The 23379-nt window shown below is 48.4% G+C and overlaps 1 long non-coding RNA gene across 3 annotated transcripts, besides 1 other annotated feature; it reads left to right on the forward strand.

Annotated features, from left to right (window-relative positions):
- MYH9-DT (MYH9 divergent transcript) lies at positions 1-22680 on the forward strand. Of its 3 annotated transcripts, none has more exons than NR_183574.1 (3): positions 1-98; positions 296-414; positions 7797-10523. It is a non-coding gene; the product is annotated as an MYH9 divergent transcript (long non-coding RNA). The 3 variants fall into 3 exon arrangements; NR_183573.1 differs by lacking the exon at positions 1-98 and adding an exon at positions 21706-22680 and having other exon boundaries at positions 273-414; positions 7797-7894; NR_183572.1 differs by lacking the exon at positions 1-98 and having other exon boundaries at positions 273-414.
- Positions 20826-21446: an enhancer, noted in NCBI's record as "NANOG-H3K27ac-H3K4me1 hESC enhancer chr22:36805192-36805812 (GRCh37/hg19 assembly coordinates)". NCBI's record gives its function as "activates a minimal SCP1, AML or CMV promoter by ChIP-STARR-seq in naive H9 embryonic stem cells {active_cell/tissue: H9 hESC(naive)}" and the evidence as "EXISTENCE:reporter gene assay evidence [ECO:0000049][PMID:30033119]".
- Positions 22681-23379: the final 699 nt, after the last annotated feature.

Genomic DNA, 23379 nt, shown 5'->3' on the forward strand with positions numbered 1-23379 from the left:
AATCAGGAGGCGGCGACTCGGGGCGCGGAGAGCTCCGGGCCGGGGTTTTGGTGCCTTGCCTGGGCCGGGGCGAGGCCCTGCGGGAGCCGACTGGGAAGGTCTGGAACTCTGACACCCCGCCCCGCGAGCTGTGCTCTCAGTCTCATGTCATCCCACCACAAGGACAGATATTAAGTACCATATATGGGAAAAATGCTATTTTACATAATTATGATCCCTGTGGGGGCGGGCATGGACTCAGCCCTGGATTCCATTGTGAGCGTCTTGAGTTCGATTCCTGACCCTGCCTCTTTAGGATCCGCACGTTGCTGCCTTTCAGCCTCCAAACCTTCGCTCTGGCCGTTCTCTCCACCTGGAATACCCTTCCGAGCCTCTCTTCACCTCCATGTCATTAACTCGCATACATCCTTTCAGGTACTTGTTACAAATTGCACTTTTTTTTTGTTACTGTCCACTACAAGAGGATAAAAAATGTTTTCATTTTTAAATGAAAAATCTTTTGATCCATTTGGAATTTATTTTTGGGGTAAGGAAGAAACCTAAGATAATTTTTGTAATAGCCACTTGTCCAAACACTGTTTTCTCCACTGATTTTAGTTGGCACCTTCATCGCCTATAGAACTATTATACTTGAAGCTGTTTCTGACTTGTATACATTGATCTCTCTGTGTGCACCTGTGCCAATCCCACCATGCTTTAATGAAGATACCTTTATAATACATTCTATATCTATGAGGGCAAATTTCTCATCATTACTCTTTCTTACTGGAATGTGCTTGCTATCATGACTATTCTTCCAAATTAACTTCAGAAAAAAGCTATGTTCTAAAGGCAAAAGAAAGCTGGGAAAAAAAGATTTTGCAACTCTGTGACAAATTACTATCAGCAATATATAAAGATCTCTTCCCAGTTGATAAGAAAAACCTCGGCCGGGCGCGTGGCTCATGCCTGTAATCCCAACATTTTGGGAGGCCGAGGCGGGCGGATCACCTGAGGTTGGGAGTTCAAGGGCAGCCTGACCAACGTGGAGAAACCCCGTCTCTACTAAAAATACAAAATAATTAGCCGGGCATGGTGGCCCATGCTTGTAATCCCAGTTACTCAGGAGGCTGAGGCAGGAGAATCGCTTGAACCCGGGAGGCGGAGGTTGCAGTGAGCAGAGATCGTACCACTGCACTCTAGCCTGGGCAACAAGAGCATAACTCCGCCTCAAAAAAAAAAAAAACAAAGAAAAAGAAAAAGAAAAACCTCAAAGACTCCAAAATAAAAATGGCCAAAAACAGGAACAGGTGATTTTAAAGAAGAATTATAAATGGCCAATAATTATTTTTAAAAAGCCATAAGAAATGCAAACAAAACAACATAAAATGCCATTTTCACCTAATTAAAAAAAAAATGCTCAATATTGGTCAGGTTTATAGATACAGATGAGAAAGTAAATTGATCAATTCTATCTGAGAATTCATCTTAAAAGACATTAGAAAAGTACACAGATATGAACTTTAAAGTTCTTTGCAGCCGGGCGCGGTGGCTCACGCCTGTAATCCCAGCACTTTGGGAGGCCGAGGCGGGCGGATCACGAGGTCAGGAGATCGAGACCATCCCGGCTAAAACGGTGAAACCCCGTCTCTACTAAAACTACAAAAAATAGCCGGGCGTAGTGGCGGGCGCCTGTAGTCCCAGCTACTTGGGAGGCTGAGGCAGGAGAATGGCGTGAACCCGAGAGGCGGAGCTTACAGTGAGCCGAGATCCCGCCACTGCACTCCAGCCTGGGCGACAGAGCGAGACTCCGTCTCAAAAAAAAAAAAAAAAAAAAAAAAAAAAAAGTTCTTTGCAACATTGTTTATAGTCACTAAATGTTAGAAATAAATGTACAATATATTACAAGATTGAATACATTGTGATATAGTCATATGTCGAAAAGTACAAAAAAAGTCATTAAAATTTTTATGTAGATTTGTATTTGCTGATTGAAAATATACTAAGTGGCCAGACGCAGTGGCTCATGCCTGTAGTCCCAGCACTTTGGGAGGTAAGGTGGGAGGATTGCTTGAGCCCAGGAGTTCAAGACCATCCTGGGTAACATCGCAAAATCCCATCTCTACAAAAAATACAAAAACTAGACTGCCATGGTGGCGCACATCTGTATTCCCAGCTACCCAGGAGGCTTAGCTGGGAGGATTGCTTGAGCCTGGGAGGTTGAGACTACAGTGAGCCTTGATCGTGCCACTGCACTCCAGCCTGGGCAACAGAGTAAGACCTTGCCTCAAAAAAGAAAAGAAAAAGAAAATCTACTAAGTGAGGAAGAGCAAATTTATAGAATGCTGTTACAACATGATTTTGTCCTGGTGTGGTCGCTCACGCCTATAATATACATACACACTTAGTTGGGCATGGTAGTACTTGCCTGCAGTCCTAGCTACTCAGGAGGCTGAGGTGGGAGGATTGCTTGAGCCCAGGAGTTTGAGGCTGCAATGAGCTGTGAGCATGCCACTGCACTCCAGCCTGGTCAACAAAGCAAGACCCTGTTTCTGGAAAAAATAAAAATAAAAAAGAAGAAGAAAGAAAAAATACAAAAATTGAAAGACTCATTTCATTCTAGGTATGGTGGCTCACACCTGTTATCCCAGCACTTTGGGAGGCTGAGACGGGTGGATCACCTGAGGTCAGGAGTTCGAGACCAGCCTGGCCAACATGGCGAAACCCCATCTCTACTAAAAATACAAAAGTTAGCTGGACGTGGTGGCATGCACCAGTTATCCCAGCTACTCAGGAGGCTGAGGCAGGAGAATCGCTTGAACCCAGGAAGCGGAGGTTGCAGTGAGCTGAGATCACACATCTGTATTCCAGCCTAGGCAACAGAGTGAGACTTCATCTAAAAAAAATTAAAAAATAAAAAGACTCATGTTGATGTCACCACTTCCTTTTTTTCTGAGACGGAATCTCGCTCTGTCACCCAGGCTGGAGTGCAGTGGCGCGATCTTGGCTCACTGCAACCTCTGCCTCCCGGATTCAAGCAATTCTCCTGCCTCAGCCTCCCAAGTAGCTGGGATTACAGGCATGTGCCACCATGCCCGGCTAATTTTTTTGTATTTTCAGTAGAGACGAGGTTTCACCATATTGGCCAGGCTGGTCTCGAACTCCTGACCTTGTGATCCACCCGCCTCGACCTCCCAAAGTGCTGGGATTACAGGTGTGAGCCACCGCGCCCGGCCAGATGTCACCACTTCTAAAACATCTTTCCTGACTCTCAAGACCAGTTAGGAACTCCTCCTCTGTACTCCATTCTCTGGTATCTATTCTCTCATTGTATTTACACATTGAGTTTTAATCATTCATTCACTTTCTGCTTTTTCCGCCCAGGCTGGAAGCTGCCTGTGGACAGTCAGGGACTGAGCCCTATTTGTCTCTCTGGGCCCAGAACTAGCATAAGGCCTGACATAAAATGGCCTTTAGTGAATGCTTAAGCAGGACTCAGAGAGCCTGTTTCCTTATCTGCAAAATGAATGTGATCACTGGGCCTGGCCCAGCCCACAGGACTGTTGGGAGGAACACAGGAGACTATGGACCTGAAAGTGTTTTATAAACCACTAAGCAATGCGCACATACAACAGAGCATTATTGGTATGATTATTTTCATTTTCCTCATGCCCCCGGCCTCTGAGCATCACCCTCTCCAGGGAAAACTTAAGGTCACTAATAAGACAAAAGGCCTCCATCAGGCAGGCCCTGAATTCTTTCCTCCCCATCCCCTAGGCAACATGAGTCCTTTAGCTAAGGTAGCCCTCTCACTTGCATAAGCCTAACCCCTTTTCCAGCCTCTAAGAACCTGCACCCTTAATAGTTTCTACTCCTGTAGATTTTGAAAAACATTTCTGGCCAGGCATGGTGGCTCACGCCTGTAATCCCAGCACTTTGGGAGGCTGAGGCGGGTGGATCACGAGGTCAGGAGATCGAGACCATCCTGGCTAACATGGTGAAACCCCGTCTCTACTAGAAAATACAAAAAATTAGCCGGGCGTGGTGGCGGGTGCCTGTAGTCCCAGCTACTCGGGAGGCTGAGGCAGGAGAATGGTGTGAACCCGGGAGGCGGAGCTTGCAGTGAGCCGAGATCACGCCACCGCACTCCAGCCTGGGCGACAGAGCGAGACTCTGTCTCAAAAAAAAAAAAAAAGAAAAATATTTATTCATTTTGTCTGAGTATTAATACTACGTTCGGTGTGGAGTATACCAAAAAAAAAAAAAAGAAAAGAAAAATCACCCATAAGCTTACAACCCCATCACAGCTACTATTAACAAACCTCCTATGCCAGGCGCGGTGGCTCACGCCTATAATCCCAGCACTTTGGGAGGCAGAGGCGGGCAGATCACTTGAGGTCAGGAGTTCAAGACCAGCCTGGCCAACATGGCAAAACCCCGTCTCTACTAAAAATAGAAAAATTAGCCAGGCATGGTGACATGCGCCTGTAATCCCAGCTACTAGGGAGGCTGAGGCCAGAGAATCACTTGAACCCGGGAGGCGGAGGTTGCAGTGAGCCGAGATCACACCACTGCACTCCAACCTGGGCAACAGAGCAAGACTCTTTCAAAAAAAAAAAAAACTCATTATTTCCTTCAAATCTTTACATGGCTGGGCACAGTGGCTCACACCTGTAATCCCAGCACTTTGGGAGGCTGAGGCCGGTGGATCACGATTTCAGGAGTTCAAGACCAGCCTGGCCAACATGGTGAAACCCTGTCTCTACTAAAAGTACAAAAATTAGCCAGGCGTGGTGACACACACCAGTAATCCCAGCTACTCAGGAGGCTGAGGCAGGAGAATCACTTCAACCCAGGAGGCGGGGGTTACAGTGAGCCAAGATCATCCCATTGCACTCCAGCCTGGGTGACAGAGTGAGACTCCGTCTCAAAAAAAATAATAATAAAATAAAATGAAATCGAGAGATCTACATGTACATGGTCACCTGACTTATTATAATAGTGTCACTGCAAACAAGTCAGGGTAGAATGGTCTTTTGAATAAATGGTAGTAGGTCAATTACATACCCACATAGGGAAACATGAATCGTGACCCGACCACACCATTAATGAACATAGTTTAGGATGGATCAGAGACCTAAATGTAAAAACAATAAAACATCTAAAAGAAAGCATAGGAGAATATCAACCGGGCGTGGTGGCTCACGCCTGTAATCCCAGCACTTTGAGAGACCGAGGTGGGCGGATCACCTGAGGTCAGGGATTCAAGACCAGCCTGACCAATATGATGAAACCCTGTCTCTACCAAAATACAAAAATTAGCCAGGCATGGTGGCATGCGCCTGTAATCCCAGCTACTCAGGAGGCTGAGGCAGGAGAATCGCTTAAACCGGGGAGGCAGAGGTTGTAGTGAGCCGAGATCGCAACATTGCACTCCAGCCTGGGCAACAAGAGCAAAATTCCGTCTCAAAAAAAAAAAAAAAAAAAAGCATAGGAGAATATCTTCATGACCTTGAAGTAGACCAAAATTTCTTAAGACACACAAAAAAAGTATAAGCCATAAGAGATGGATGATTATTAAATTGAACCTCATTATTATTAGTAACTTCTGTTCATCAAAAGACACATTTAAAAGAGTGAAAAATCAAATCATAGACTGGTAGAAAATATTTACAATACATATATCTAACAAAGAATATGTACCCAGAAGTTACCAAGAACATCTACATTAAGAAAAATGGGGCCAGCCGTGGTGGCTCACGCCTGTAATACCAGCACTTTGGGAGGCCGAGGTGGGCGGATTGACTGAGCTCAGGAGTTCAAGACCAGTCTGAGCAATACGGTGAAACCCCATCTCTACTAGAATACAAAAAATTAGCCGGGGTGGTAGCGGGCACCTGTAATCCCAGCTACTCGGGAGGCTGAGGCAGGAGAATCGCTTGAACCCGGGAGGCAGAGGTTGCAGTGAGCCAAGATCTCGCCACTACACTCCAGCCTGGGCTACAGAGCGAGACTCTGTCTCAAAAACAAAAAAAAGGAAGAAGAAGGAAAAGATAAAAGGGCAGGGTGTGGTGGCTCATGCCTGTAATACCAGCATTTTGGGAGGCCAGGGGTGGAGGAATCACTTGAGTCCAGGAGACCAGCCCAGGAAACATGGCGAAATCCTGTCTCTACAAAAAAATACAAAAATTACCCAGGCGGAGTGGTGCACGGCTGTAGTTCCAGCTACTCAGGAGGCTGAGGTAGAAGGATCACTTGAGCCCAGGAGGTGAAGGCTGCAGTGAGCTCTGTGTCACCCAGGCTGGAGCTGCAGTGGCCTGATCATGGCTCACTCTTACTGCAGCCTCAACCTCCTGGACTCAAGCAATCTCCCACCTCAGCATCTCGAGTAGCTGAGACTACAGGGACTCACCACCATGCCCCACTAATTTTTTTTTCTTTTTTTCCTTGTTTTGTTTGTTCCTTTGTTTTCTTTTTCTTTTTCCCTCCTAGTACTGGCCTTGCAGAGCAGGGCTACCCTATAGGCAGTGTGCCCAGAGTAGCACCTGGCCAATTTTTGTATTTTATTGTAGAGATGGGAGGAGGTCTCACTTTTTTGCCCAGGCTGGTCTTCAACTCCTGGGCTTAAGCCATCCTTCCACCTCGGCCCTCCAAAATGCTGGGGATTACAGGCGTAAAGCCACCACGCCCGGCTGTATTGCCTATTAAAGTAAATCCATTTTTAATGTGAAAAATTATGCTATAAATTCAAATATAGATACAAAAGAATACATGCTCATTTTAAAAGTTAGAAAACATTAAAAAGAATAACAAAACACCTTTGTTACCTGTAGTTCTACTCTCAAGTTCAAGATTTTTGGCGTGTTTCCCTATTGTTTAACTGCCTTCTCCTTAAATCCAGCACACAGTGTCTAGCCCCGCTCCCACCATCCTGGTTCTTGCCAAACCTGTCTGCATGCCTGACTTCCTGCTCCATTCAGGTTTCCAGCCTCTCTCTGTCAACCACACTCATGCGCAGTCCTTCTCCTCCCTCTTCCCTGGCTCCCAGGACCCATCACTCCTCGCCACCATCTTACCCAGCCATCCTGTCCTCCCCAGCACTCTTGTCCCACTCTGATACTTGCCCTCCTTTCCTCCCCTCCACACCATGACCTTAGCTTCTCAACAAGGCCCTCCCCCACTGTCTCTTCCAACTGCCACCTGTATCTTCTGCATCCTCAGTTAATGGTCCTGAAGCCCAGCTGTAAGCATCAGCTTGGCACAAACTTACGGAGTTGTTCTTCTGTTTGTTCATTTGTTTGCTTTTTGAGACGAGTTTCGCTCTTGTCACCCAGGCTGGAGTCCAATGGCGTGATCTCGGCTCACTGCAACCTCTGCCTCCTGGGTTCAAGCGATTCTTCTACCTCAGCTGGGATTCTCCTACCTAGTAGCTGGGATTACAAGCACGTGCCACCACACCTGGCTAACTTTTGTATTTTTAGTAAAGACGGGGTTTTGCCCTGTTGGCCAGGCTGATCTTGAACTCCTGACCTCAGGAGGCAGAGGTTGCAATGAGCCGAGATCATGCCACTGCACTCTAGCCTGGGCAACAGAGTGAGAGACTCCATCTCAAATAATTAATTAAAATAAAATAAGGTTGATGATAATCCCTACAAAACTGGGTTGTTGTGGGAATTAAATGACTTAACTAAATGTCAAGCACCAACAACAGGGCCAGCACAGAGTAAGTGCCAAGTGGTATTTGCTATGATGATGTCATGATGATTATGCGTCTTTCTATCTTATCTCCTCTCAGAGGTTCATTTTTCATTCCCCAGATATTTCCTGAGGGCTTGTGATTTGCCAGATCCTGTACCAGGTGCTGGAACTTGGTGATAGACAATCCACAGTCTCTGCTCTGAAGACATCCATGCAGGTACTAACAGGTCAGCCTGGTAAATCCTGCGAAGGCTTCAGCACAGGGTGCTGTTGGGGAAAGAGGAGATGGGGTGTGTAGGGTAAGGGGGAATAGCAGCTCATTCCAGACAGGAAAAACTGGGTGCGTAGCCCAGAGGGGAGAAGACAGTCTGTGCACAAGCTCAGTGAAAGGGGAGGGAATGTCAAGAAGGCAGCAGGAGTTGGAAGGGGCAAGGCCCTGCAGCAGATATGCAGTCCTGGGACCCTCAGCATCACAGCAGCAACCTCACCTGGAGCCTTTAGAAATGCAGTCTCAGCTGGACATGGTGGCTCATGCCTGTAATCCCAGCACTTTAGGAGGCCGAGGCGGGCGGATCACGAGGTCAGGAGTTTGAGACCAGCCTGGCCAATATGGTGAAACCCTGTCTCTACTAAAAATACAAAAAAACTAGCTGGGTGTGGTAGCGGGCGCCTGTAGTCCCAGCTACTCGGGAGGCTGAGGCAGGAGAATGGAGTGAACCCGGGAGGCGGAGCTTGCAGTGAGCCGAGATCGCGCCAGTGCATTCCAGCCTGGGCGACAGAGCGAGACTCTGTCTCAAAAAAAAAAAAAAAAAAATTATCCAGGCATGGTGGTGTCACATGCCTGTAGTTCCAGCTACTCAGAAAGCTGAGGTGGAAGGATCACCTGGGCCTGAGAGATTGAGGCTGCAGTGAGCCATGATCAGGCCACTGCACAGTCTCAAAAAAAAAAAAAAAGAAAGAAAACAAATGCAGAGTCTGAAGATCCAGCCCAGACCCACTGATTCTGAATCTGCATGTTAACAAGCCCCCAGGTGGCTGGCATCATATTAAAGTGTTCAAAGCACTGGCTTAATCAGAAAGTGTCTTGTGGTTGTGCTGAGGAGTTTTTAATGCATCAGACATCAGAATCTCTAGGGAGGTTTTTTTTTAAATTTTATTTTAAGAGGCAGGGTCCCACTCCGTCGCCCAGGTTGGAGTGCAGTGGCGCAGTCATAGCACACTGCAACCTTAAATTCCTGGGCTCAAGGAATCCTCCCACCTCAGCCTCCCAGGAAGCTAAGACTACAGGCACATGCCATCATACCCAGCTCATTGTTTTATTTTTTTGTAGAGAATGGGTCTTGCTTTGTTGCCTGGTCTGGTCTCAAACTCCCGGGCTCAAGCAGTCCCTCTCCCTCAGCCTCTAAAGTGCTGGGATTACACACATGAGCCACCGTGCCCAACCACCTAGGGAGATTTTAATTAAACCAGTACCTCAGGTGGTGAGTCCTGAACACCCACATTTCATACCATTCATTCAGCAAATGATCACTGAGCACCAGGTCTGTGCCCTCCACCTGAAGGACCACACCTCCTCCTTCCCTGGATGGGCGCTCAGGGCCCCCTCTCTAGCGTGCACTCAACAAACATTCCAGGAATCTGATGCAATGGTTCCCGTGCCTGATTCACAACACTGTCCATCTAGGGCTCACCCTGGTCTGCATACCATTAACACTTCCCCACTGCCCCTTGAGTCTTTGAGTGTGGTAACTCCTTCTGGAGGCCTCTCTGGATCCTGCAGCCTGGCATGGATGTTCTCCTCTGTGGTCCCATTGTACTTGGGGTTGCTTCTGTTTTATGTTTTTTTGAGACACGCTCTCACTCTCTTGCCCAGACTGGAGTGTAGTCACGTGATCTTGGCTCACTGGAGCCTTAACCTCACAGGTTCAAGTGATCCTCCTGCCTCAGCCTCCCAGGTAGCTGGGACTATAGACACGTGCTACTACAGTCAGCTAATTTATTTTTCGTAGAGATGGGGTCTTTCTATACGGCCCATGCTGATCTCAAACTCTTAGCCTCAAACAATCTTCCTGCCTCAGCCTCCAAAAGTGCTTGGATTAGAGTCAAGGCCACCCCACCTGGCCTTAGGGTTGCTTCTGTCGTAGCATTCTCATGCTGTCAGCTTGCCTACCCCTGGACAAGGAGGTCATGAGCTTCCTAAAGACAGACGAGTGCTTTATGCTTATATCCCAAGTACATGGCACGGAACCTAGCACTCTGCAAGACCCTCAATAAATGTCCATGGCATGAATAAACAAATAAGCTACTAAATTGAAATAAGAATCTATGTGGGCTGGGCACGGTGGCTCACAGCTGTAATCCCAGCACTTTGGGAGGCCTAGGCAGGCAGATCATTTGATCCCGAGTAGCTGGGACTACAGGTGCCCACCACCACACCCAGCTAATTTTTTGTATTTTTTAGTAGAGACGGGCTTTCACTGTGTTAGCCAGGATGGTCTCGATCTCTGACCTCGTGATCCGCCCACCTTGGCCTCCCAAAGTGCCAGGATTACAGGTGGGAGCCACCGCACCCAGCCCATGCTTCTGTTTTTTTAAACAGCGTTATTGGGATAAAATTCACACACCTTACAACTCAGTTGTTTTTAGTATATTCACAGAGCTGTGCAGTCATGACCAGTAATTCCTGAACATTTTCATCACCCTAAAGAAACTCCATATCCATGAACAGTCACTTCCTGTTTTCCCTCAGCCTCCTCCCCCAGCGCTAGGCAACCATTAATCTACCTTCTGACTCTACAGATAATTTGCCTATTGTGGACATTCCGTATAAATGGAATCATACAATATGTGATCTTTTGTGTCTGGCTTCTTTGATCTAGCATGATGATTTCAGGGTTCATCCATGTCGTAGCATCTATCAGTATTTCATTCCTTTCTATTGCCGAATGCCATTTCATTGTATGGATAAGCTACATTTCATTGATTCATTCATCAGATAATAACGAACCTTCCCGCAGGTGTACAGCATTTGGCTTTTGCAATAGCATTTTCATGCCACCTCGCTTCATCTTGATGTTTACTGTTTGAGGAGGGTTGTGTTTAGCCCCATTTTGCAGATGAGTGAACTGAGGCCAGAGTGAGCCGTTGTGACTTGCCACAGAGATCACAAGGCTATTAAATAGCAGAGTCATAACTCGAAACCCTTTTCTCTGTGCCATTCTGCCTCCCTCCCCAATCCAACTCATGGCACATGTCTCTTTTCCCCTCATACACCCACTATTCATGGTGTCCACCGTGCCCTATGGCCACCTGAACTTGGATACACAGAGGTTTGGGTGTGTGCTCTGGGAGGGTGTCAAGCCCTTATCTGATCTGGATTTCTAGGCCAAAGTTCAGCCTTCCAGCCTGAGTGCATGCAGGTCACTTCTGGGTCCCAGATGTGGGTAGGTGGGGTATAGCCAAGAGGAACCCCACAGCTCAGGAATCCATCAGACCTCACCATCCACTCTGCAGAAAAGGGACCTCTCCCACCTGCCCCAGTGCCACCCAGCTCTTCCGATCGCCACTTCCTTCTGCTTGACCCTTCTTGCCACACCCTTTCCTCTCCAACCACAAAGAACTTTAAACACACTTCTTTTATGGCACTTGCCATACTGGGGCATAATGATTTTTTTATATGTCTGCTCCACCAACCTGTGAGCCACAAATTTCAAGGGTCTCAATCATCTTCGTATCACAGGAACTGGCACTTAATAGGAACTTGGTCAGTAGTGGTGGAATGAACAGATCTTCCTGTATTTTAATAATAACATCTACCGGTTGGGCACAGTGCCTCACACCTGTAATCCCAGCACTTTGGGAGGCCGAGGCGGGTGGATGACCTGAGGTCACGAGTTCGAGACCAGCCTGGTCAACCTGGTGAAACCCCATCTCTACTAAAAATACAAAAATCAGCTGGGCGTGGTGGCAGGTGCCTGTAATCCCAGCTACTCGGGAGGCTGAGGCAAGAGAATCACTTGAACCCAGGAGGAGGTTGCAGTGAGCCGAGATCATGCCATTGCACTCCAGCCTGGGTGACACAGCGATACTCCATCTCAAAATAAATAAATAAATAAAATAATAATAATAGTAACGGCCGGGCGCGGTGGCTCACCCCTGTAATCCCAGAACTTTGGTAAGGCCAAGGCAGGTGGATTACGAGGTCAGGAGTTCAGGACCAGCCTGGCCAAGATGGTGAAACACCATCTCTACTAAAAATACAAAAATTAGCCAGGCGTGCTGGCAGGTGCCTGTAATCCCAGCTACTTGGGATGCTGAGGCAGAGAATTGCTTGAGCCTGGGAGGTGGAGGTTGCAGTGAGCCAAAATCATGCCACTGCACTGCAGCCTGGGCAACAGAGAGAGACTCTGTCTCAAATAATAATAATAATAATAATAATAATAACATCTACCATTTATTGCATGTTTGCCATCTTATCGTGACAATAACCCCGTGATATGATGTCTAATCTCCTTCTTATAGAAGAAGAATTGAAGACACAGAAAGGCAAAGTTTACAAGTCTAAGCCATTTCAGACAAGAAGAGATGGAGTAGATGACTTAAAAAAATAAATAAATAAGTAAAGCCAGGTGCTGTGGCTCACACCTGTGATCCCAGAAAGTTGGGAGGCTGAGGCGGGTGGATCACCTGAGGTCAGGAGTTTGAGACCAGCCCGGCCAACATGGTGAAACCTCGTCTCTACTAAAAATACAAAAATTAGCTGGGCGTGGTGGTGCACACCTGTAATCCCAGCTATTCAGGAGGCTGAGGCAGGAGAATCACTTGAACCCAGGAGGCGGAGCTTGCAGTGAGCCAAGATCACGCCACTGCACTCCAGCCTGGGCAACAGAGTGAGACTCCGTCTCAAAAAAAAGGAAATGTCCAAGTACCATTAGAAGTGAAAAAAAGAAGAAAAAGGAAAAGGAGGCCAGGAGCCCAAAACTTTTCAAACTTTACTCTCCTGTGATCTCTATTATTAGATCTCACTTTAGGTCTCTAGAGAAAACTGGCTCAGAGAGGTTAAGTGATTTCCAAGGACACTTGGGATGGGCCAGCCTCTGTTTCCAAGGGTCCAAGGAGAGACTTGCTTCAACACATCACCATCATTGCATTTTTTTTTTTTTGAGATGGAGTCTTGCTCTATTGCCCAGGCTGGAGTGCAATGGTGTGTTCTTGGCTCACTGCAGCCTCTGCCTCCTGGGTTCAAGCAATTCTCCTGCCTCACTGCCTCAGCCTCCTGAGTAGCTGGGATTACAGGCGCATGCCACCACACCTGGCTAAATTTTTTTTTTTGAGATGGAGTCTTGCTCTGTTGCCCAGGCTGGAGGGCAGTGGTGCCATCTTGGCTCACTGCAAGCTCCGCCTCCCAGGTTCACGCCATTCTCCTGCTTCAGCCTCCCGAGTAGCTGGGACTACAGGCTCCCACCACCACGCTTGGCCGAGCCCGGGTAATGTTAGTAGAGATGGGGTTTCACCATGTTAACCAGGATGGTCTCGATCTCCTGACCTCGTGATCCGCCTGCCTCGGCCTCCCAAAGTGCTGGGATTACAGGCGTGAGCCACCCCGCCCAGCCACACCTGGCCAATTTTTATATTTTTAGTAGAGACGGGGTTTCACCATGTTGGTCAGGCTGGTCTCGAACTCCTGACCTCGTGATCCTCCCGCCTTGGCCTCCCAAAGTGCTGGGATTACAGGCGTGAGCCACCGCACCCAGCCATCATTGCATATTTTGTTCACCTTGCATTGCTCAAGTGGGAGTTTCAGTTTCCACTGGGAAGCTTTAACAGGAAATGGGTAAATCAAAACGGTGGAGATATTGGAACACTCATATATTGCTGGTGGGATTGTAAAAAAGTGCAGCCACTTTGGAAAACACTGTGGCAGTTCCTGAAAATATTAAACATAGAGCCCAGCTGGGCGTGGTGGCTCTCACCTATAATCCCAGCACTTTGGGCCGGGCACGGTGGCTCACGCCTGTAATCCCAGCACTTTGGGAGGCCGAGGCGGGCGGATCACGAGGTCAGGAGATCGAGACCATCCCGGCTAAAACGGTGAAACCCCGTCTCTACTAAAAATACAAAAAATTAGCCGGGCGTAGTGGCGGGCGCCTGTAGTCCCAGCTACTCGGGAGGCTGAGGCAGGAGAATGGCGTGAACCCGGGAGGCGGAGCTTGCAGTGAGCCGAGATCCCGCCACTGCACTCCAGCCTGGGCGACAGAGCGAGACTCCGTCTCAAAAAAAAAAAAAAAAAAAAAAAAAAATCCCAGCACTTTGGGAGGCCGAGGTGAGTGGATCACTTGAGGTCAGGAGTTCAAGACTAGCCTGGCCAACATTGTGAAACCCTGTCTCTACTAAAAATAGAAAAATTAGCCAGGCGCGGTGGTGCAACCTCAGCTACTCGAGAGGCTGAGGTGGGAGGATCACCTGAACCCAGGTCACAGAGGTTGCAGTGAGCTGAGATCCTGCTGCTACACTCCAGCCTGGGCAACAGAGCAAGACTCTATCTAAAAAACAAACAAACAAATAAACACACACACAAAAAAAACCCTTAAACATAGAGTTACCTTATTACCTAGAAATTTTTTTTTTTTTGAGATGGAGTTTCGCTCTTGTTGCCCAGGCTGGAGTGCGGCTCACTGCAACCGCTGCCTCCTGGGTTCAAGCGATTCTCCTGCCTCAGCCTCCCGAGTAGCGCCCACCACTATGCCCAGGTAATTTTTTGTATTTTTAGTAGAGATAAGGTTTCACTGTGTTGGCCAGACTGGTCTCGAACTACTGACCTCAGCTGATCCACCCACCTTGGCCTCTCAAAGGGCTGGGATTACAGGCATGAGCCACTGTGCCCGCTGACTTTTTTTTTTTTTTTTTTTTGAGCCAGAGTGGGCTCTGTCGCTCAGGCTGGAGTGCAGTGGTACAATCTTGGTTCACTGCAACCTCTGCCTCCAGGGTTCACGCCATTCTCCTGCCTCAGCCTCCAGAGTAGCTGGGACTACAGGCACCCACCACCTCGCCTGGCCGTGCCCGGCTAATGTTTGTATTTTTAGTAGAGATGGGGTTTCCCCATATTGGCCAGGCTGGTCTCGAACTCCTGACCTTGTGATCCTCCCACCTCAGCCTCCCAAAGTGGTGGGATTACAGGCATAAGCCACCACACGCAGCAGCGCCCAGGTAATTTTTTGTGTGTTTTTTGTAGAGACGAGGTTTCTCTATGTTGGCCAGGCTGGTCTCGAACTCCTGACCTTGTGATCCTCCCTCCTCAGCCTCCCAAAGTGGTGGGATTACAGGCATAAGCCACCACACGCAGCAGCGCCCAGGTAATTTTTTGTGTGTTTTTTGTAGAGACGAGGTTTCTCTATGTTGGCCAGGCTGGTCTCGAACTCTTCGCCCTCCCAAAGTGCTGGGATTACAGGCATGAACCACCGCACCCAGCCTTATCACCTAGAAATTCCTACTCCTAGGTAGAAGATTCTGCCAAAGAGAGGTGGAACCATATGCCTACAAAAAACTTGTATATAAATGTATATGAATGAGTGTTCATAGCAGTGTTATTCATAATAGTGAAAACATGGAAAACAATGTCCATGAACTGAAGAATGGATAAACAAAATGTGTCATATACATATAATGGAGTATTATTTGATAATAAAAAAGAATGAAGTGATTATACATGGTAATACACACATGAACCTTGAAAGCGTCATGCTAAGTGGAAGAAGTCAGGCTGGGTGCAGTGGCTCGGGCCTGTAATTCCAGCACTTTGGGAGACCAAGGCAGGCAGATCACCTGAGGTCAGGAGTTCGAGACCACCCTGGCCAACACAGTGAAATCCTGTCTCTACTATAAATACAAAAATTAGCCAGGCGTGGTGGTGCACACCTGTAGTTCCAGCTATTCGGGAGGCTGAGGCGCTGAGCAGCGCTTGAACCGGGGAGGCGGAGATTGCAGTGAGCTGAGATCATACCACTGCACTACAGCCTAGGCAACAGAGTAGGACACTGTCTCAAAAAAAAAAAAAAAAAAGTGGAAGAAGTCAGCCACAAAAGGCCACGTGTTGTATAATTCAATTAATTAATTAATTAATTAATTATTATTATCATTTTTTGAGATGGAATCTCCCTCTGTCGCCCAGGCTGGAGTGCAGTGGTGCAATCTCAGCTCACTGCAACCTCCACTTCCCGGGTCCAAGGGATTCTCCTGCTTCAGCCTTATGAGTAGCTGGGATTACAGGCACTCACCACCATGTCCAGCTAATTTTTGTAATTTTAGTAGAGACAGGGTTTCACCATGTTGGCCAGGCTAGTCTCAAACTCCTGACTTCAGGTGATCCACCCGCCTCAGCATCCCAAAGTACTGGGATTACAGGCGTGAGCCACCATGCCCGGCCTGAGCACAGCCTCATCTCAGTGTAGCCCAGCACGGCACCGGCAGCCAAGCTTGGCATGTTTGACTTGGTGTGAGAGTGTCTCTCAGACTCTTCTCTTCAAGGTTGCATTTTAACATTTGGCCGTATATTACTTCTGTGTGGCAAACGACTTTACGGTCATAATATACGCCTTGCTGGGCGGTCAGGCCATGGGGTGTTAAATTCATTCCAAGATAGGGAAGCCAACATCCAAAGCTGTTTCAGCAGCGCAGCCCAGCTGGGTGCTAATGGAATCAGGGTGACATCACAGGATTTCAGCAATTTAGAGCAAATGCAATTTGACCCCCCAGTGCAAAGCAGTTGGGATAGAAGGGTATGCATCCTGGGTCTGGTACCCAAACACCTGGGTTTGAATCTCAGTTCCACTACTTACTAGCTGAGTGAAAATTAAATAAGGTTATGTCTTTTAAAACCTAGCACAGTGGCCAGGCACAGTGGCTCACGCCTGTAATACTAGCACTTTGGGAGGCCGAGGTGGGCGGATCATAAGGTCAGGAGATGGAGAACATCTTGGCCAACATGATGAAACCCCGTCTCTACTAAAAATACAAAAATTAGCCGGGTGTGGTGGCGTGCACCTGTAGTCTCAGCTACTCAGGAGGCTGAGGCAGGAGAATTGGTTGAACCTGGGAGGTGGAGGTTGCAGTGAGCCAAGATTGCGCCACTGCACTCTACCCTGGGCAACAAAGGCAAAACTCCACCTCAAAAAAAACAAAACAAAACAAAACAAAAACCCTAGCACAAAATCAGTGCCATACATACAGATATTATTGGGGCGGTGGGGGGGCGGTTGTTCGGTTGGTGTTTTGGTTTTGCAATGGGGTCTCACTCTGTCGCCCAGGCTGGAGTGCAGTGGTGTGATCACAGCTTATTGCAGCCTCAACCTCCTGGGCTCAAGCAATCTTCCCACCTCAGCTTCCTGAGTAGCTGGGACTACAGGTGCATGTCACCACGCCCAGCTTACTTTATCGTTGTAGTGACAGGGTCTCCCTGTGTTGCTCAGGCTAGATGGTGTTTTATTGTTGGGTAGAAAAGAGGGCTGGACTGGGGTGTCAGCTTTGCTGTTTCCTTGCTGTGTGATCTTAAACTAGTCATTTCTCAACTCTGGGCCTGTTTCCTCATCTGTCAAAAGACAATAATGTGATAGGCCCCATCTAACTAACAAGGTTGGTTTGATGAGGCTTATCTGGCAAAATGTGTGGGGAAAACACTAGAGAAACTCGAGGGGCTTACAGGGTTATGTTGGGCAACGTGGAAAGAGAGTGACTTGCAAGATTCTGGAGATGAGAGAAGGCTCTGAGCAATGCTGAGGCTCCCGACAGAGGGGCAAAGACCCCAGCAGTCAGAGTGATTGAGGAAGCACTGCTCTTGCCCAAGAGAAACCCCTCCACCTCGAAGTCATTCAACCAAAGGAAATGGAGACAAAACCACAAAGCACCGTTGGGCAAGACAGGGAGGTGCCAGCAAGTGGGGCAAGAGGCTCACAGCTGAGTGCCTCCTGGTAAACAGGCTGCAAAGGGGTCATGCTGCTGGAGGCAAAATGCAGGGGAGGTAGCCCTACTGTCATTGCTGATGCCCAGGTTTAAGGTGGCTCCCAGGGGGCTAGGGGTTCCTCCTGTGCTTACAGTCCCTTCCCCCTTCAGTGGCTTCCCATGGTCTTCAAGAAGGACAATAGCAGCTAACATTTATATAGCACACAGGATGTCCCAGGCACTTTCTGAAAACACTTCCATCTATTCACTCCTGTAATCCTTGCAACAACCCTATGAGGTAGGACTTAGATTCTCTATGTTACAAATGAGGTCACTGACACACAGAGAGGCTGAGTGACTTGCACAAGATCACAGAGCTTGTAAGTGGCAGAGCTAGGCTTCAAGCCAAGGCCATCTGCCTCTAGGACCCACTTTTTTTTTTTTTTCTTTGAGATGGAATCTCACTCTGTTGCCCAGGCTAAAGTGCACGATCTCCGCTCACTGCAACCTCCATCTCCTGCGCTCAAATGATTCTCCCACCTCAGCCTCCCAAGTAGCTGAGAGTACAAGTGCCCACCGCCACACCTGGCTAATTTTTGTATTTTTAGTAGAGATGAGGTTTCACTATGTTGGCCAGGCTGGTCCCGAACTCCTGACCACAGGTAATCCACCCACCTTGGCCTCCCTAAGTGCAGGGATTACAGGCCTGAGCCACCGCACCCAGCCCCCAGGACCCACTTTCTTGGCAACTCCTCTGCTTTTTAGCCTTGAGATGGGGATGACTGGTCAGAGCCTGGCCTGAGAGCCAAGTAGCAAAGGGATTAGGGATAGGTGTGGTTTTTAGAATCTTAATAATAATAATAATAGTAATAGTCATAAGAACTACTAATCCAACTGTCCTTGTTGATGGCATCAGTCCAGCATGGGCACCGGAGGTCTGAGGGCTCAGGGCCACCCAGCGATTCCATGTGTGTGGCCTAATTAGTTACATTCCAATAGCAACCCTCAGGGCAAACCACTCGTGCCAGACTCTGTAGTGGGTGCTTTACCCATAGCAGCATCAAAAACAGCATTTTGGCCGGGCATGGTGGCTCAAGCCTGTAATCCCAGCACTTTAGGACGCTGAGGCTGGCAGATCACTTGAGGTCAGGAATTCGAGACCAGCCTGGCAGATGTGGTAAAACCCTATCTCTACTAAAAATACAAAAATTAGCCAGGCGTGGTGGTGCACACCTGTAATCCCAACAATTTGAGAGGCTGAGGCAGTCAGATCACCTGAGGTCAGGAGTTTGAGACCAGCCTGGCCAACATGGTGAAACCCTGTCTCTACTAAAAATACAAAAATTAGCTGGGCATGGTAGTCTGTGCCTGTAATTCCAGCTACTCAGGAGGCTGAGGCACAAGCATCACTTGAACCTAGAGGAGGCAGAGGCTGCAGTGAACCGAGATCATGCCACTGCACTCCAGCCTGGGTGACAGAGTGAGACTCTGCCTCAAATAATAATAATAATAATAATAATAATAATAATAATAATAATAGGCTGGGCATAGTGGCTCATGCCTATAATTCCAGCACTTTGGGAGGCCGAGGCAGGCAGATCATCTGAGGTCAGGAGTTCGAGACCAGCCTGACAAACATGGTGAAACCCCGTCTCTACTAAAAATACAAAAATTAGCTGGGCATGGTGGCGCATGCCTGTAATCCCAGCTACTTGAGAGGCTGACGCAGGAGAATTGCTTGAACCTGGGAGGTGGAGGTTACAGTGAGCTGAGATCGCACCACTGCACTCCAGCATGGGCAACAAGAGTGAAACTCTGTCTCAAAAAAAAAAAAAAAAAAGAAAGAAAGAAATGGTGGCTCTTAATATCATTGTCCCTACAATACACCAGCAAGCTGGGCTTTATAACCCTACTAAAAGGGTAGAAACTGAGATTCAGGGAGATGAAGTGGCTCCTGAAGTCACAATGACAGGGACCAAAACCGGGACCAGAACCCACAGCCAGGTTCTCTTTCCTGAAATCCCCCGCTGCCTCCCTAGAGAACTCTAGCTCACTAAATATGGCTTCTAAACCCTTTGCTAACTGGTTACAGCTCAGTCTCCTGGGTAGAGGCCAGGCTGGCCGCCCCTAGAGAATCTAAGACGTCTGGACCAGTGACCATCTCCTCTCCCCTCCTCCACTGTCCAATTTAATTTCTTGTCCATTTTCTGGGCACTGAGTAGGCACATGGCTATTCCTCCTGCTCTCCCTCAAGCAGGAGCAGTTGTCCCAGTTACTACATGGCACCCTCTCTTATTTCACTGAGAACACTCTTAAAATGTCACCTCCACAAAGACGCCATCGCTAAAGCCCTACTCCAAATGAAAACCAACGTCACTCTCTAGGGCTGACCTCTTTCCCTGTTTTTTTTTTTTTGTTGTTTTTGTTTTGTTTTGTTTTGTTTCAGTTGAGTCTCACTCTTGTTGCCCAGGCTAGAGTGCAGTGGCGAGATCTCGGCTCACTGCAACCTCTGCCTCCCGGGTCCAGGCGATTCTCCTGGCTCAGCCTCCTGAGTAGCTGGGATTACAGGCGCCTGCCACCAGGTTTGGCTAATTTTTGTATTTTAGTAAAAACGAGGTTTCACCATGTTGGCCAGGCTGGTCTCAAACTCCTGACCTCAGGTGATCTGCCTCCTCCATGTCCCAAAGTGCTGGGATTACATGTGTGAGCCAATGCACCCAGCCCCTTCCCTTGCTTTAGTTTTCTTCATGTCCTTGCCATGGCCTGACAAATTGCACACTGTGTTGCTTTATCCATTTACTCTTTGTCTTCACTAAAACATAAACTCCAGGAGGGCAGGAACTTTTAGGGTTAGTCCCCTGCCCTATCTCCAGTGCCTACAACAGCCCTGCATTTAATAAATGTTTGTTGATGGGCCAGGCACAGTGGCTCACGCCTGTAATCCCAGCACTTTGGGAAGCCGAGGCAGGCAGATCACGAGGTCAGGAGATCGAGACCATCCTGGCTAACACAGTGAAACCCCGTCTCTACTAAAAATTACAAAAATAATAATAATTAAAAAATTAAAAACAAAAAATGTTTATTGAATCAATAAATGACACTGAGCCAAGGCTGTGAAGCTGTGCTGATGAACCATCTGGGACTGTAGGGGACTGTCTTGGTGACATTCTAAGAAGTACTCTTACACAAGTACAAACTAATTGTCCTGGAAGTACAGGGAAGGCAGAGATCAGTTCTGACCTCTGGGCAGGGACGAGGAGGCCTCTGAGTGATCCCTTTAGGCTGGGTGAAACTTCAAAGGTGGCAATATAATGAGAGAGAGAATCTCATGTGGAAGGAATGGCAAGGGCAGTCAAGGGCAAAGCTGTTTCCAGGGGCAGAAAACCGGGTTAGGGAGACCAATCCATGTGGCTTTGGGTTTAGGGTTGATAAGCAGGTGAGGAGGAGGCTAGGGCAGGTTGCAGAGGGCTTTGAATGCCAGGTTGTTTGGAGTTTACAAGTCTCTGATAGTGTCCTAAGAAGAGCAATCTGTATCTATATATCATCAATATCTATATCTATCCATATACACATATACACATAATAAAAACACACGTGTGTTTATTTATTTGAGACAGGGTATCACTCTATTGCCCAGGCTGGAGTGCAGTGGTGCAATCTCAGCTCACTGCAACCTCCGCCTCCCAGGTTCAAGCGATTCTCTTGCCTCAGCCGCCCAAGCAGCTGGGATTAGAGGCGCGCACCGCCATGCCCGGCTAATTTTTTTTAGTAGAGACAGGGGTTCGCCATGTTGGCCAGGCTGGTCTCGAACTCCTGGCCTCAAGTGATCCGCCAGCCTCGGCCTCCCAGAGTGCTGGGATTACAGGCGTGGGCCACCGCGCCCGGCCTTTTAATGTATAATAGCCTTTTAATAGGCTCCCATGATTCAGTTGGGGCATAAAAGATTTTACAATGAAAATCTCCTTTCCACTTGTATTCTCACGGCCCCCGCCAGGGAAATTTGCCCACCCGGAGAAGTAACCAACGTCCTTATGTTTTGTGTCCTGCTCCAGCCGATTCATGTTTACAGCGAGTCCCTCACACCCGCCGTTTCAGGTTACATACACGGGCGGTGCAGCGGAGAGCGCGGCGGCGAAGTTTCAGGCCCCTGCCCAGCCCCACTCGCCGCAGCCAGGTAGCCCCTCCACCCTTCCTGCCCGGAAGTCCTGCGCGCTCCACCCAAGGACAGGTGGGTTAGCCAGGGCACGCCCACTTCCGTCTCATTAGCCTATCGAATACGTTATGCAAATTGACACACGACCCCGCGCCTCACGACAACCAATGGTTGCGGAGGCGCCGCAGGTCGCCCAGGTTCCCGTTCTCAGGATGCTCTGGGAGCTCTGCCACGTTTCTGCTGTGGCAGGAAGAACTGAAATTCCAGAAGCCGGAGAAACAAGCCGCCGTCAAGACTGCTGAAGCGAGGCCTACGGCCCTGTAATCACACAAGCTCAGGCTTCACGGAAGCTGGAGGCCATGTCGCCTGATCCCCGGGCTGACCCCTTCCCTCCCTCCGCGTAGTTCCTGCCAAGCTCCAGGTGCCCGGTGCCCACGTAGTCTCGGTGAACGCAGAGAAATCACTGCAGATGTAGCCACGCTTCTCTGAGTTAAGGACTCGGCGTCCGCAGGAGAGCCAAGGCCTCGCTGCTGGGGGTCAGAGCCTCTCAGAGAACAAGAGGCAAGTCCAAGTTCTGCCTCCACCACTTGTTAGCTATGCGACTTTGGGCAATCCGCGTCACCTTTCCAAGCCTCATTTTCCTCATCTGGAAAATAGGAATAATAACACTGCCCTCCCAGCTACGATATGAGGACCAATGGCTAGTCAAATGGAAAACACGAGGGTCTTTGCAAGCCATTGTGCTTGGTGGTTAAGAGTATCACTTCGGTTAGACAGATTTGAATTCAAATCCTGCTTTTCCCAGTTACTTGTGTTCCAACCTTAAGCAAATCACTTACTTTATCTTCTGATTCTCACTTTCTTCAACTGTAAAGAATTCCATGGGCTGTTGTTAGGATTAAATGAGTTAAGGTTTATTGATTGAGACAGGATCTCTGTCACCCAAGCTGGAGTGCAGTGGCACAAACACAGCTGACTGCAGCCTCAACCTCCCAAGCTCAAGCGATCCTCCTGCCTCAGCCTCCCAAGTAGCTGGAACTACAGGCATGCACCACCACACCTGGCTAATTTTTTTCTTATTTTTGTAGAAATTGAGTCTTACTAGCTGGGCGCAGTGGCTCACACCTGTAATCCCAGCACTTTGGGAGGCCGAGGCGGGCAGATCACGAGGTCAGGAGATTGAGACTATCCCGACTAACACAGTGAAACCCCGTCTCTACTAAAAATATAAAAAAAAGAAAAAAAAATTAGCCGGGTGTGGTGGTGGGCAACTGTAGTCCCAGCTACTGGGGAGGTTGAGGCAGGAGAAAGGCGTGAACCCGGGAGGCGGAGCTTGCAGTGAGCCAAGATCGCACCACTACACTCCAGCCTGGGAGACAGAGCGAGACTCCGTCTCAAAAAAAAAAACAAAACAAAAAACAAAGAGAAATTGGGTTCTTACTGTGTTGCCCATGCTGGTCTTGAACTCCTGGGTTGAAGCAATCCTCCCACCTGAGCCCCACAAAGTACTGGGATTACAAGTGTGAGCCACTGTGCCCAGCCTGAGTTAAGGTTTTCAAAGCACTTGGCACAAAGCCAGGCCACGTGTGGTAGCAGAACCATGGCACCTCCTGGAA

Source organism: Homo sapiens, chromosome 22, assembly GCF_000001405.40.
Source record: "Homo sapiens chromosome 22, GRCh38.p14 Primary Assembly".
Classification (NCBI taxonomy): Eukaryota; Metazoa; Chordata; class Mammalia; order Primates; family Hominidae; genus Homo; species Homo sapiens.